Raw genomic sequence first — 16,469 nt, forward strand, 5'->3', positions numbered from 1 at the left:
AATTTTAAAGTTTCATGAAAATACATTTTGTACATTTTGAAAGACTAGAATATAAATTAAAAAGGCCTTAACTTTTAAGTAGAAAATGGATGATATTCTACTTTTATAAAGATCCAACCTAGGTCCTATGTTTAAGAAACTACAAATTCTTAATAAGTTTAAATGTGAGAGAAGTTAAATGTGAGATTTGTTTAAAGAGTAAACCCATGCAAATTCATAAACATTTTCTTGATTTGCAGAAAGCATAGCTAATTAATAATTTAAATATGTTGCCTTTTAGGCAATTAGGAAGTATTGCTTTTCAATAATTCCTTTAAGCAAATAGTCTCCAATGTGGATTTTGTAAAAAGTTCCATCTAGAATCGTCCATCAGTCAGAGAAGAAGAATATTTTACTTATATCATTTTTAAATGAATCATCCCTTTAAAATTATGTTTGGTGTATATTTTATAAAGTACAAAATACATTCATACAGTATCTATATCACATGCATTCCTTTATTTATGTGCAATGGTATGCAAAGTCAACGAAGTTTGGAGACAAATGATGTTACATTAATAAAAAGAAAGAAGAAGATTCATGTCTTTAGTTTATATTAAAATTTGAGACCAATAATTATGTAGGTGATTTTCGATATCTAAACAATTTGGGTCCACAGATCTGTAAAGACTTTGCAGGTGGGGCTGTTTTAGGTTTGCAGCACCAACCTGCAGCTGCTCCCATGATTCGGTCTCTCATTTTTAGCTCTTAAAGCACTTCAGGAAGGAGTGGAGATCAAACTTCTTCCTCTATCAGACAGTCTCCTAGTAGCGTGGCTTTGGGGAAGATCATCCTGTAAGTTCCAGAGTAGTCTCTTACTCGTTTTTTCTCTCTAGTGGTCATTGCTTCAATACAAGAAGAATAGCTGCTTCAAGATTATGTTGTTCTTTTCAAAATTATCCACACCCCATTAGGAGATTATTGATAACCATAATGCTCTCCAGTGAAAGATGCCAATAGCCATGTCATTGTATACAGGACAACTGGGGGTGGCATTCTTAAATAATCTGTGTATGCGGGATAGCAGAGTGTGTGGTGAAGAGCCTAGCTGCCTGTGTTGAATTCTAGCCTTTTCTTCCTCTAGGTCCCTCTGCACTTGTCTAATCTGTAAAGGCAGATGGTTGCGTTAATTTTTGTTAAGGGAGAAAAATAAATTAATACTTCTTGTCACACAGTGAGCACTATATAAATAATTATTATTAAACAACAAATAAATGAAATATATGACCACATTTCATGAGTGAGGATCTCAGTCCAGCAATGCTGATTCTAATCAAGACAGTGCCCTGAAATGGAGTTTATCCTTCTTCTTGCATCTCTCAGAGGAGCTCTGAATCTAATGCACCTGTTTATTAGTTCCCAACTTCCCTGCTCAGTGCCTGTTTCTGTCAACAATAAGTGTATTTTAACTTTCCCATTTATTCTCCATCTTCTACTCTGCTACAAGAAATACATTTAGAACACATAACAGTGAACATATTATCTCCTTGCTCACATTTATGTATGGCGTCTCCCTTACCGTCCACCATCTGCCCATCATACAGGGCGTTAGCACGCCTGGTCCTCTCCAGACATCTCTCCTGCAGCGGCCCCTGCTGGACCACACAGGCTCAGCGGCGAGCGCACCTTCATTTTCTTGCATCATCACGTGGCATGCATTTTCACACTTCCATATCTTTACTCATGTGTTCCCTCTTGATTAAAATGACATTTGTTCCTCTAATGATTGTTTCCTCAATTAATTTTTTTCAAGACAAACCACACATATTTCCTATCCTCCATAAACTCCCTTCCCTCATGAATATTAAATTCCCTTCCCCATGTTGCTCCCATATCAGATGTCATATTGTGTTTTATTACATATGTACTTTCGAAGTAAATACGAGGCCGAGCGCGGTGGCTCACGCCTGTAATCCCAGCACTTTGGGAGGCCGAGGCGGGTGGATCACCTGAGGTCAGGCGTTCGAGACCAGCCTGGCCACCATGGTGGTGAAACCCCGTCTCTACTAAAAATACAAAAAATTAGCTGGGTGTCATGGCAGGCACCTGTAATCCCAGCTACTTGGGAGGTGAGGCAGGAGAATCGCTCGAACCCAGGAGGCAGAGATTGTAGTGAGCCAAGATCGCTCCACTGCACTCCAGCCTGGGGCAACAAGAGCGAAACTCTGTCTCAAGAAAAAAATAAAATAACATAAGGTAAAATAGTTACGAATACTATGAGGCCAGGGAATGTTATCTAATTAATGTCTGATTCTCTGTTAATGCTGCACAGTATTTGCAAAATTAATAAATGTGTGGGATTTTAAATGTATTTCCATGTGCACCAGCTGAATTTTCATGGTAGAACATGTGTAATATCTGTAACCTCTGGAAATGTATTTTAACTGATCTGTTTTAGCACTTCGTGTACTGTTTTCTCCAGCAGCTATTTATTGGAATGTGTGTTTGTGAGTGTGTGTGTGTGTGTGTGCTTCTGTGATTTATTCTAAAAAAAATCCTTCTCATTCTTTATTTTCTGCAACTCTTGTCCTTTCAGAACCCAAAAGCGAGCTCAAAGACTGTATTCTGTTTTCCAGACAACTATCTAATAATTTGTGAACATTTTACATAGTATTTAAGTGAATGATAGCTTTGGCCATATAGAAATTAAATGAGAACACCCTGATAGCTTTGTTTTAGCTCCTCAAACTTTCCCTGGATGATCTTTAGTATCTCTTTGATGTGCACCAAAAGTATATCTCTGGGCTTTCAGGGAAAACCCTTCTAACATCCTGAAGTTCAAACAGAGCATTATTTGTGATTATCAGCTATTCCATTACACTTCTGGGTGAAAAAATGTCCTGGAATATACTGTACTGAAAAATCAGGAAATGTGCTCATTTATGATCACTTGGCTTTGATGTATCATTTCATATTTCCACTCCTCAGAGTGGCTTCCCCCCTCAAAAAGGATGCATGTCGGCCCCTCTCCAATATCCTATTGTAAGCATGAGTGACTTTGTGTAAAAACATAGAAAAAATATGTTCTATATTAGGGAAAGTACAATCTGCTTGTGCTGAAAGATTTTTGTCCTCTAGATATATTCACTTAAAGTATTCTCTAGATTAGTCAGCCTGGTTTCATGAGCACTTGTGTGCTAATGCCATGGATGAAGAAAACTTGCTTTCCTTCCTCATGAAAAAGCTTCTGTTTTTCCTAAAAAAGACATCATACCTTTTACAAAATAATTCTAGAATAATATAAGAGTGTATATGATAGAGGGCAAAAGAGTGTGCATCAGCACACGAGAACAAAAGCAGTTTAGAGAAAGAGTTATCTTTGGAGGCTGCAGTATATAAATATATTCCCATCAATATTACAGCGGATTCTTTTAAAGTAGCAGACTCCCAGCAATAGCCATGGAAATGTATATTCCAAGAGAAAGTCTGGTATTATTTGCCTGGGATAGCATGCTCCTTAAATCTAAGGATAGATTTCACATGTAAGTGATATAATATGATATTTGTCTTTCTATGCCTGGCAATTTTTACTTTGCAAAGTATCCTCCATCCTTATCTATGTTGTTGCAAGTTAAATAATTTTATTCCTTTTTTATGGCTGAATAGTGTTCCACTGTGTATAAGTACCATATTTTCCTTATCCATTCATGTGTTGATGGGCATTTAGGTTGATTTCATATCTTGGCTGTTGTGAATAGTGCTACAATAAACATGGGAGTGCAGATGTCCCTTTGACATACTCATTTCATTTCCTTTGGATATATACCTAGTAATGGAATTGCTGGATCAGTTTTTAATTTTTTAAGGAATCTTCATACTGTTTTCTTTAAGGGATATACTAATTTACATTTCCACTAACAGTGTGTAAGGGTTCACTTTTCTCCACATCTTCACCAGCATTTGTTATTTTTTGTCTTTTTGTTAGTCACCATTCTAACTTGGGTGAGGTGGTATTACATTGTGGTTTTGAATTGCATTTTCCTTATAGTAAGTGATGTTGGAGTTGAGAGTAGAATAGTGGTTACCACACACTGGGGTGCATGGAAGGGTCAGAATCGGGAGATGTTGGAGAACAGGTACAATGTTACAGTCAGATGGGAGGAATAAGCTCTGTTACTCTAGTGCACGCTAGGATGATCACAGCTAACAGTAATGCATTATATGTCACAAATAGCTGGAAGAGAGGGTTTTGAATGTTCTCACAACACATATATTATTAGTGTTTAAAGTGATGTATATGCTAATTATCATGATTTGATAATTACACAATATATACATACATCAAAACCTCACATTGTTTGCCATGAATACTTACTATGTGCTAAATTTTTAATTTGAAATTAATTAATTAATTAACTCTGAGGATAAATGTATATCCCCATATATATATTCCACTATCTTAAGAATGACTCAATAATTATTACAAGAAAATGTCATTTCCAAAGTGGTCATTATTCCTATGGACTTTTTGGTGCCGAATAAGAGCTAAAGATTATATTCTATCTCAAAGGAATTACCTTTTGTGTCTGTGACAAGTGGGAATGTTAAGTGCACTTTCTAGGGAGAATATTTATATTAATCCAGGTTAATATATGTATTCTGGATAAATGACAAGACTCATGGACTTCTTTGGTGATTACTAAGATAATAGCACAAGTTCAGAAATCTTTACAGTCTGTTTTCACAATTACCCAAAGTATATAAAGCAAACACATTGGATTAGGCATCAAAAATCTTGGGTCTTAAACTAGGCTCCAATTTTAATTAACTGTGTTAATCTGGGTAGTTTATTTCACCTTGTTACCCTTATTTCCTTCTAGGTATAAACTGTGTGTGTGTGTGTGTATGTGAGTGCGTGTTCATGCAAGTCTGTGCATGTGTGTATGCATGCATGCATGTGTTTGTTGGTGACTAGGAATGCTGACATAGTGGAGTTTAGAGTAGGCTGGGGCAGTGGGAGGGGAAATGGAGAAATAGGAGTGTGTTCCTTCTTTTTGAAGTAATGGAAATGTTCTAAAATTGATTACAGTGATGGTTGCACACCATTGAGTATATTAAAAATACATGAATTGTACATTTTAAAGGGTTGAATTGTATGGAATTTGAATTATATCTCAATAAAGCAATTATTTTTTATTTTTAGATTATAAGTATTACAAAAATCCTCATTATTTTAAAAATGTAGTACATGTACCATAATCCTTACTCCCCACTTCTTTGTGTGAATTTTGTGACATTGTTTTCATTATCCGAGTGTTCACTCTACTTGAGATCATTCTCCTTTTTTTCCCTTGCACCCACGTTAAGTATTCAATTTCAGGCTCATCAGAGTGTGTTTTCACCACCTCTTAAATGTTATTCACCATGTTTTGCTGTAAACTGGCCACAAAATTACAACCTATAAACTAAGTATAATTTTTCCTCTGTTTGTTTTTTTTTTTAATCTGAAGACAAAGACAGGAATTTGTTTGCTGCAGGATGGTAACCAGGAGCCTTTCAAAGTGCGGCTGCACCTAGCCAAAGACATTTTGATGATCCAGGAACAGGATGTGATATGTGTGTCTGGTGAGCCTTTCTATTCTGGTGTAAGTAGCTTTTTCTTCTGTTGAAATTTTTTGTGTTTGTTTTTTGTTAATAAAAATGTTTATTCACAGGGCATTTTAAATATGTTTTTCTTTCAGTGTCTAGTCAATGGTTCTGCATGGAATTTTTGCTTACATCATTAAGTAATCAGCGGCCCTGTACGAGAACCTTGCCTGGGGTCCATGAACACATATTTCGGGCCCATCTCCAGCCTGTTGTCTATGACTCCTAGCTGTCATCATATGATGGGAGTGACACTGTATTTTCTGATTATTCTACCATTTTACATAGAGAATTAATTGAGAACTGTGCATGGTGATGGCTTTTGCTCTGGTCTTATCTTTCATGACCTGGGACTACTGAGAGTGGTGCCAGGGTGGGGCCCAACCTTCAGCATCACTGAATCAGGAGACGTTAGGCAGCGGTCACTGAACTCAGCGTGAGTGGTGTTCCCCTAGGATAGTGTCTAAATGATTCTGTGGGCCTCCCTAATAGAATTATGCCCAAGTGCTGTAGCAAATTCTTTTCTCCAATGCTCCAACCCATTGACACATTACACTGCTCCTAATCTAACTTCAGAAAGAGCCATAAATTACAGTGCAAAACTGATTGCTGTACCTACTCATGTCGAGGCAGCATAGCTATGGAAGACATCCTTAGATGAGATTAGATTTTATTCTGCTAAAAGACATTATCATAAGACGAGTTCTGGAGTTTATCATTCATTGTATAATAATGCTATTAAAGGCTTCTTTTTAGCAATGTTGCCGTATGTGATCTCAGAAGAAAATTACAGACAGTAGCATGTAGTCTGCTCCCTGCTTTCCCCAAACATCTGCAACTATTTAGCATGGAGATTTAATTTGTACCTTATTAACAGACTTACCTTGGAGTGTTTAGTTGGTGGTGAATAATGCTGAACTTGAGCTCTCACATCACTTCTTACTAACACCCTATGGGAGTCACACAAGGCCCTAAATCAATAGGCCTTTGCCAACTAAAGATAATGGACATTTTGCAGACTGTTAACTATTCTTTTGTCACAGACCATTTAAATCATTCTGAATCATGGGCCTGGATGTCAAGGCTGATTAAACTGTTCCCATGGGGTTGTCCTTTCTTCCCTTTGGTTAATAATAGAGAAGTGACATGAGTCATATAACCCTCTAGAATAAATATATCACACTGGTCCCAGATCAAAAAATAAAATCAGTAAAATTTACTACTTTGATACTGAAATAATATTATTGATTTTAAACTTCACAGTCAATAATAGCTGATACACATAGACCTATTCTCTTCTTAAAAGATAATTGTGCATATAAATAAAGCTCAGAGTGCTAGGAATAATGAAGAGAATTAAGGAGAAATATCCTATGGCATTTTCAACAAATTCAAAAAAGCATTTGACAAAATTCAACACCCATTTTTACAAAACACTTTAGCAAGATATGAATAGACAAGAATTTTCTTAATCTGACAACTGTCATCTAATTAAAGCCTCTCCCTAATATGTTAGTTAACATTGAACATTTTCTCTGAGATTGAAAGCAAGTCAAGGATAATACCTTGCTTAATAATCAATGTTGTTCACCATGCTCCTACAGCAAGTCACAAACGATATATAAAGAACAAAAATTATACAGGAAGAGGCAAAATGGCTTTACTTGTAGATTTCATGATGATATGCATAGAAAACCTTAAGAATTCTACAAAAGATAGAATAACACTAAAATTAAGCAAGGTTGCTGAGAATAAGGACAATAGCCCAAGTTAATTGTGTTTCTAAAACTACCTACAAGCAACTAGAAATGAAATGAAAATGCAATCCACAATAAGTCAGAAAGACAATACACTCAGGAACATATTTAACAAAAGATGTATATGATCTCTACCCTGAAAACTACAAAAACTATGTTGAAGGAAATTAAAAGATATAAACAAATAAATGGAGAAATACAACATGATCATAAATTAAAAGCTAAGTATTGATAAACTGTCACATCTTTCTAAATATTCCAAACCAGTCAAAACCCCAAAATATTTGTGTGGATATGTACAAGTTGATTCCAAAATTTACATGGAAATATAAAGGACTTACAATAACCAGAATAATCTTGAATAAAAAGAACAAAGTTGGAGTGTTTATTCTACCTGATTTCAGCGCTTACTATAAGATTCTAATAATAAATACAATGTAATGCTGTAATAAATTCAGGCATAGCAATCAGTGGAACATTCTAAAGAGTCCAAAAATAGACCCACTCTTATATGGTCAGTTAAGTTTTTTTTTTTAACTGTGGTAAAATATACATAATATAAAATGTACCATCTTAACTATTTTTAAGTATAAAGTTCAGTAGCATTTCGTGCATTCATTTTGTTGTGTAACTATCACCACTATTCATTGCCAGAATTTTCATCATGCCATACTGAAACTCTGTACGCATTAAACAGTAACTCTCCATGCTCTCCTCCTCTTAACCCCTGGTAACCACTGTTCTACTTTCTGCCTCTACATTTGACTATTCTGGGTAGATCTTGTAGGTGGAATCATACAATATCTGACCATTTGTGGATGACTTATTTCAATTATCATAATGACTTTAAGGATCATCCATGTTGAAGCATATATCAGAATTTCATTCCCTTCAAAGGCTGAATAATATTCCATTGTGTATTTATACCACCTTTTGTTTATCTTCTCACTCGGTAGTAAACATTGAGGTTGTTTCCACCTTGGCTTTTTGAAAAATGCCTCTAGGAACATGGGTGTACAAATATGTTTGAGTCACCACTTTCAATTATTTGGTGTATATACCCAGAAGTGAAATTGCTGGATAAAATAGTAATACTTTGTTCAACTTTTTAAGAAACTGCCGTACTCTTTTCCACAGTAGTTGTACCATTTTCCATTTCAACAAGCAAAATACAAGGGTTCCAAGTTCTCCACATTCATGCCAAGCCTGTTGTTTTCTGTGTTTTTGATAATAGCTATCCAAATAAGTGTGAGGTTGAATCTCACCGTGGTTTTCATTTGCATTCTCCTGTCAATTAATAATGTAGAGCATCATTTTATGTGCTTATTGTCTACTTGTGCGTCCTCTTTGGGTAAGTGTCTATTCATATCCTTTGTCTATTTTTGAATTGGATTGTTTGTTTTTTGGAGCTTAGTTGCAGGAATTCTTAATGTATTTTAGATACTAGTCCCTTATCAGATATGTGATTTGCAATATTTTCTCCCAAATTGTGGATTGCCTTTTTACTCTATTAGTATTTTTGATGCACAAAAGTTTTTAATTTTAATAAAATCCATGTCAATTTTTTCTTCTATTGGTCGTACCTTTTATACCATCTCCAATAAATAATTGCCAAATTCAGTGTCATGAATCTTTTCCACTATATTTTCTTCTAAGAGTTTACAATTTTTGCTCTTACTTGTGCGTTTGGTTATATTTTAAGTTAACTTCTGTACATAGCATTAGGTAAAGATCCAACTTCATTCTTTAGCATTTGGATATCCAGTTCAAAATCATGTGCCGTATATATAAGGGGGTATTTGTGGCCTCTCTATTCTAGTTTATTAGTCTATATATTTGTCTTTATGCCAGTAACGCACAGTTATGCCTTTTGTTTGTTTGTTTTTACTGTAGCTTTATAGCAAATTTTGAAATCAGCTAATTTGGGTTCCTTAAGATCTCAAATAAATTTTGGAATGAATTTTTCTATTTCTTGAAAAAATATCATTGCAGTTTTTATAAGGATCATGTTGAATCTGTAGATCACTTTTAGTAGTATGGACATCTTAATAATAGTAAGTTTTCTGATAGATGAACATAACATCTTTCCATTTATTTATGGGTACTTTGAGTTCTTTTAGCAATGTTTTGTTGTTTTCATGTACAAGTCTTTCAACCCCTTGCTTAAGTTAAAACCTTAGTACTTGATAATTTTTGATAGTATTGTTAAAAATTATTTTCTTAGTTTACTTTTGGATTATTTATTGTTAGTGCACGGAAATGTAATGGATTTTTACATTTTGATTTTGTATTCTGCTACTTTGCTGAATTTATTAGTTCTAATAGTTTATTGCGGAATGTTTATGGTTTTCTACATATAAGATTATGTCATCTGTGATTCAAGATAAGTTTACTTATTCCTTTCAAATTTGGATGACTATTATTTCTTTCTCCTGCCTTATTACTCTCGTTAAGATTTCCAATACTATGCTGAATAAAAGTGGTAAAAGCAGGCATTTTTTTTCTTATTCCAGATCTTAAAGGAAAAGCTTCATTTTTGAGTATGATATTTGCTGTGGGTTTTTCATATACTGCCTTTGTTATGATGAGGTAGTTGTCTACTATTCCTAGGTGGCTGAGTATTGAGGCAGTTTTGAATGTTATCATCGAAAGGTATTGAAGTTTGTCAAATGCTTTTTCTGAATCAATTGAGATGATCATGTGTGCTTTTTAATTTTTTTTCTTCTGCTCTATAACTCGCTTTTCTTACCTGAAAGTACTTCCTGGGACCCCTGTCCCGGGAAGGAATTCTATCTTCTAGGTCTGCATCTGAGGAAAGCCAATCTACAACAGAGAAAGTAGCACACTGTACTTTCAGATAACCAGATATTCTTTGAGAAAAACTCCCTTTGTCTGTTTTTTAAAACCTCCCACTGGTAAAGGCCCGCAGACGCCTCTGTATTAAAAGATACCCTCTTTAAACTTGACCTTTCACAGTGCACTGTTTGTGTTGTATTGCCACAATACATAGTCCATGTGCTCGCTGGACAGGGATCACCTCTCTTATCAGCTAATTATGAGATGAATTTGAGACAGTAGGGCAGAGATAAACATCCAACTTTGGAGAGCAGAAAGTCTCATCTGAGTATTACAACAAATAGAGTGTTAACTCTCAGTCTGCTTAAGTGAGTGGAAAGGTTAGGAGAATGTTCTAAGGAAAGGCAGATGTTAGTCTGAAGAACCATAGGCAAGGATGCTATTTTGTTATCTAGAAGCAATGCTCTGAAGTCCTGGGTGGAAAATAGAACAGTCAGGGGCAGGGGACTGAAAACAAGATTGCTATCAGGCAGTTTACTCATGAGGGAGAAAAATGAAGCTCCACTCTGCTGAAAAATCCTGAGGATTATAGAATGTTGTAGTTTTTTCTCCAACCCCACAATAGGGAGGAAGTTGTTTATATTTTCAGGTCTATCACATTAGCTGAAAGCTGCTTCTAGGATTGTCTTTGCCTGACACTTTTGACCTGCCTTGCTCAGGCTGAAAGAAAGTGTTACAGTTCAGTCAAGCTCCTCTTGCCCACTTCACAGAAAAAGCCAATACAATGAGACAGCCAGTATTGCATTAGATGAAGAGTTTAATACTTGCAAGGCAGTGAAGCAAAGAGGACAGGAGATATTTCTCAAATCTCTCTGCCTGGAAATTTGAAGACTAGCGTTTTAAGGATAGTTTGGTGGGCAGGCAGCTATGGAGTGGGTTGTACTGACTGGTTGGATCAGGGCCTAAATCACAGTGCTGCCAAAACTGTCCTCAGGCATTTAGTTAGCTCCTGGGTGGAGTCACTGGTCTGGGTGGCATTAGCTGGTCTACTAGAATGCAAAGTCTGAAAAATATCTCAAAGACCAGGCTGAGGTTTCACAATAGCAGTGTTACCTAGAGGGGCAACTGGGGAAGTTACAAATCTTCAGACCACTGGCTATGTGAATCCTGAGCAGCAAGCAATTATAAAAAGCAAGCTAGGAAACAATGCCTAGGTGCTGTTTATGCCTATGTCTTAGCAGAAATCAGGTCCCTAGCATAATTATAATCTTATGGCCTTTCATTAGTTTTACAAAGGCAGTTTCAGTCCCCAGTATGGAAAAGCTTAACTTTGGGAAGCGACTATTATCATCCTTGCTTTAAAGTTCCTTGCTTTAAAGTTAAACTATAAACTACATTTTTCCATTAAATTGTAAAGTAAATCCCTCCCATAGTTATTTTGGCTTTTGCACAGAAATAAGCAAAGGTAGTTAGCTTGTGAGGTTAGACGCACTAGGGAGTCAGTTATGCCAGATTTCTCTCATTGTTATAATTGTGCAAAAGTGGTTCCAAAAGCCCTTGTGGACTGGGACTCAGGGATGGCAGTGGGACAAGGTCTGGGATAGGGAGTTAGTGGTAGGCCTGACAATTTCTCTGTATCTGCACCAAGGCAGGAGAGGGTGCCATCAGCCCCAACATTAACCCACTGACCATGAAGGATAAACAGTGAGATGTGAGCCCAGGTAAAAGGCTCACTCTGAGGGAGAGGGCACAGAACTGAGCATTTGGAGAAGCTCCAGTCAGGCAAAATGTTGGTATCTGAAAATCAAGGATTGGCAGATGGGTCAAAACCCAGGCGTCATGCCAAGTAACCCTCTTAGCTCCTTGCTCTGAATTCCTGGACATATTGTAGGGCATAGCTCAGTTGCAGAAACAAGAATTGAGAATTCGTGGTAAGTATGTAAGGGCAGCCTCTGTGAGAGGGCAGGATATAGGATTTGGATAGCAAAGGGACCCCTGGGAAAAGGCTTTGCTTCACAAAATCTCTAGAATTAAGAGAGGAAACAGGTAATACAGGGTCAGCGCCAGAAAACCACAGGCTGATGAACCTGTAGCTGAGCTCCAGGGCTTTATCAGGGTGAGCTTCTAAAGAAGGTGACTTAACAATAACCCCTATCAAATGGGGCTTAAACCTGCTCATCACTCCCTGATTAGTGGGTCTGGGAGTTTATAGTAGAAGTCAAGTAGCTCCTCAGAGGCTTCAGGAGGTGACGCAGAGAAAAAACACTCTTGACATATTTAGCACATCTGACTCTAATTTTAGTTATGCAGAAAGTCCTATAAAATATTGATCATTTAGAAACTTGTGTCAACATTTTCACCTACAAGAGACAGCTAGAGAGTTAAAACTGAAATATCCAACGCATTTACTGTGACTTCTATCAGCAAAATACTGCTTTCCCCCAGTGCCTTTTATTAACTACTTTTGAGGAACATTCTGTGATTTCTTCAGAGATTACACAGTTGAAGTTTTAGCATTGAGTTCATATCAGATAAAACCTGTTTCATCTGTGATCATTTAAAAATAGTATCAAAACGTAGGCAGCAATTATTCAGGATCTTTAGATGCAGATAGTAAAGTGACTGTTGATCAGAATGATGCATGGCCGTTGTCAGATAGATGTGTTAAAGCTTCAGTTAACATACAAGAAAGCAATCATCTTCCCCTGGTGCTCCAGGGGAGCTGAAATCCAACATTCAGTTCCTGTCATCCTTCTGAATGGTTTACCACTCTAAGTCAGAGATATCTGTGGCTGTTCTCATGGTAGTATACCCTTCAATGGGCCCTGAAGGAAAATTAAATTTAGCCTGTGCTAGTTTTAAATATTGACGAAATATTTTTAAAAGGTAAATGAGGGTAAAATCAATACAAGATGGCTATCTATTTCCCCATAGAGACACCAGTTTCAAAGGTGTTGCTAGTAAAAAGATACGAAAACCATGAAGAATCATGGAGCTTAAATTCCAAACATGACAGAACTGTCAGATAAATAGCATCAATACAATCAGTACCTCAGTGTAATGGGCACCATTAGACTTTAAAATCAACAGAACAACTTCTTCCAGTTTCCTTGTGGAATAAAACACACAATTAGCAATCCCACGAGTGAAACCACAATTTCCTGAAGATGACTTTAAGAGAACTAATATCTACTATTAACCTTGGAATTTGTACTGGCTTTCACATGGGTGTGACATGATGTAGGATGTGGCTTTTTGAGGTTCATTATCTGTGAAAATGTGATCCAGAGAGAGAATGTATCTAGACTAGTGCACCTATTATGGATAGATTCTTAATAGGTCATCTGGGAGGCATGGTGTGTGCAGGCCTAGATAGGAACATTGTTTTTTCTTTTTCCCACATCACAGAGCTACTCACTGAAATCTGTCAACATGGAGATTGGAGTCTGTGTACACACACATGCACAAAATACACGTTGTCTATATTTTTTAAACTTTTAAAAAAAACTCTTGTATGCCAATGTTATCATTTATTTGCTGATTTTAATGAGATTGCATTCTTCTTTTATTTAAAAATATTGAATTTACAAAGAATATATATATTCAAGGTGTATAATATGATGACTTGATAGATATATATACATACACATTGTGTAATGATTTTTACAGTAATGTAACACATCTATCACCTCCCCTGCTATATATTAGACCCTGAGATCTTGTTCATTTTATAACTGAAAGTTTGTACCTTTTTATCAGCACCTTCTATTCTTCCATTCCTCAGCCCCTGGAAGCCACCATTCTACTTTCTGTTTCTGTGGATTGGACTTTTTTTTAGATTATGCATGTGCGAGGTCATACAACATTTGTCTTTCTGTGCCTGACTTATTTCACTAAGCATAATGTCCTCTGTTCATTTATGTTATCACAAACGGAAGGGTTCCCTTCTTTCCTCTGGCTGCATTATAGTCAACTGTGTATATATATGCTTTATCCATTCATCTGTTGATAGACACTTAGGTTGTATTCTATAAAATTTGACCCATTCTAAGTAAATACAACTGATTTTTCAAAATGTTTTAGAGGTAAAAGTGGTCACTGATTACTAACATTGATAAAGAAGCTATCAGTTTAATCCCGTTTTTACATTTGATTGTATGTTTATAAACTTTTCAATCAGAAGTATTTTATGTTTGCGCTTCTCCTTGTTTGGCCTTTTTGGGTAGACTGACATTCCAAATGTGTGCAAATAAGACTAAGAAAAGGAAGGCCGGGTGCGGTGGCTCACATCTGTAATCCCAGCACTTTGGGAGGCCGAGATGGCCAAATCACGAGGTCAGGAGATCGAGGCTATCCTGGCTAACACGGTGAAACCCCTTCTCTACTAAAAATACAAAAAATTAGCCAGGCATGGTGGCGGGCGCCTGTAGTGCCCGCTACTCAGGAGGCTGAGGCAGGAGAATGGCATGAACCTGGGAGGCAGAGCTTGCAGTGAGCCGAGATCTCTCCACTGCACTCCAGCCTGGGTGACAGAGCAAGACTCCATCTCAAAAAAAAAAAATAAAAAGACTCCATCTCAAAAAAAAAATAAAATAAAAACAGAAGGAGGAAGGGAAACATTTTTCAGGAGTAGAAAAATACTTGCAGATGGGCAAGTACTGTTTAGAGAGTTGTGATTTTATAACAGAAAGATAATACAAAGGCCTACTCTTGAAACCTAGAGTGTCCCTGTCTTTTATTATTAGAGATTGTTAAATTGAAAAGACAGTGCTGGAAACCCCTTCTCTCTATTTCTTATGTGATGTTTCTTTTTTGCCAGTCAGTAGTCACCACTAGGGACATTTACGTTCCTAATTTCCCAGGGCTTATGCGGTTCCAGATATGGCAGCCCTGGAAGAAAAGATTATGGCTCCAGTGAAAACATTGTCACCGGATCCCCTGGTGGTGGCCGCAGTGGGATTAGCCCGAGTTGGTCACAGTTGTAGTCAGCCTGTGGCAACACCATCTCAGGTTCCATAGTCTGGGCAGCAGTCCCCAGGGACTACTGCCTGTGTCTCCTTTGATTAGGATAGACAGAACAGATGCAGTTGGAGGTGTTGGTGTTGTTATTTGAAGGCTCCTCCAAACGTAGAAGCAAATGAATGATAATATTTACCACAAGAACAATGGCACCCACAGAAGGATACCTTATTAACAGAGTTAATTTTTTTGTGAAATACATTGCTAGGTATAAGATTCATATTAAGGATATTTATCTTAACGTGTTTTGTTAAACCTAGCATTGTTAAATCCACTTGTTATTGTGCATCTTGTTTTATTTTACCTTTAAAATAATTTTAATATGAGATTTTCTTTATACATATAAAGCAAATTTATTGACAACTCTTTAATACTTAGTTTTTTCTTACATTTTGTACCTATTTGTCTTTCTGTGGGGCACTAAAGGTGACTCCTTCTTTCTTCTTTTCAGTTCATAACTCTTTCTTTGACAGATTGAGTCCATTATTTAAACTATTGAATTTCTGATTCTTATTATTATGTTTTTCACTTCTAAATGAATATAATACTATCTGTCTTATCGGGTAATTGTGAAGATGAAACAAGTGAATGCAAGTAAAAGAGAATATGGTCTCTGGCACATAGTAGGAGCTCAACAAATAATATCTTTATTAACATGACACATGATACAATGTGGGTGTGTATAGACATGGTGATACACAGAGTACAGAGGTCTAGGTCAGGAACTGCTTTCCAGAGGATGTGATTAAGGTCCCACCTCTTAAATAGCAGGTAGAATTTTGCGGGATATATGTAATTTTGCAAGACATATGTAAGTAGCATTTAAAGCAGACAAAAAGTGTATGCAAAATTACCAATTACCAAACTGTTAAAAAGCATGCCATAATCAAGGATGGTTTAGTCATGGGACATGTTTCCTGCAGGATACAGTTGGGAAGGATGTAAGGTGGGGTGCAAAGTGTATTGGTGGGTTGTGGTGCCATCAATAAAGGGAGCAATTTAAGTAGGAAAATCAGGTTTTAGAGCGGTGTACAATGGAAGTTGAATTGAGACCAAAAAAGCTTAGACCATTTAGAACCAATGCAATTTTGTCATAGACTGATATCAAGATGGAAACTAAAATCAGTTAATTAAAGCAATGGTGCCTGGTTCCACTGGCTTATCAGTTACATTGCTCACGTTTGTGATTTTACAGATTTGTCATACTTACAAAAAGATATGTCATTATTTACACAAATGAATTTTTATAACATTAAATGTGAGTGTAAAGTT

The 16,469-nt window shown here is 36.5% G+C and overlaps 1 protein-coding gene across 21 annotated transcripts in view; it reads left to right on the plus strand.

Moving 5' to 3' along the window:
* SNTG1 (syntrophin gamma 1) overlaps nt 1–16,469 on the plus strand; it is an 886,897-nt gene that overhangs the window by 486,925 nt on the left and 383,503 nt on the right. For 18 of the 21 annotated variants that reach the window (NR_135796.2, NR_135795.2, NR_135798.2 and 15 more), the window contains one exon: nt 5,490–5,624. The exons of 1 other annotated variant lie outside the window; for it this stretch is intronic. Coding sequence is in view for 15 of the 20 variants with exons in the window: in NM_001287813.3 (NP_001274742.1) it covers nt 5,490–5,624 (135 nt within the window). In the remaining 5 variants the exon portion in view is untranslated. The remainder of the gene's footprint in view (nt 1–5,489; nt 5,625–16,469) is intronic. 2 more of the 21 variants (NR_135797.2, NR_135794.2) reach the window with 1 other exon arrangement.

This window comes from Homo sapiens, chromosome 8, assembly GCF_000001405.40.
Source record: "Homo sapiens chromosome 8, GRCh38.p14 Primary Assembly".
Classification (NCBI taxonomy): Eukaryota; Metazoa; Chordata; class Mammalia; order Primates; family Hominidae; genus Homo; species Homo sapiens.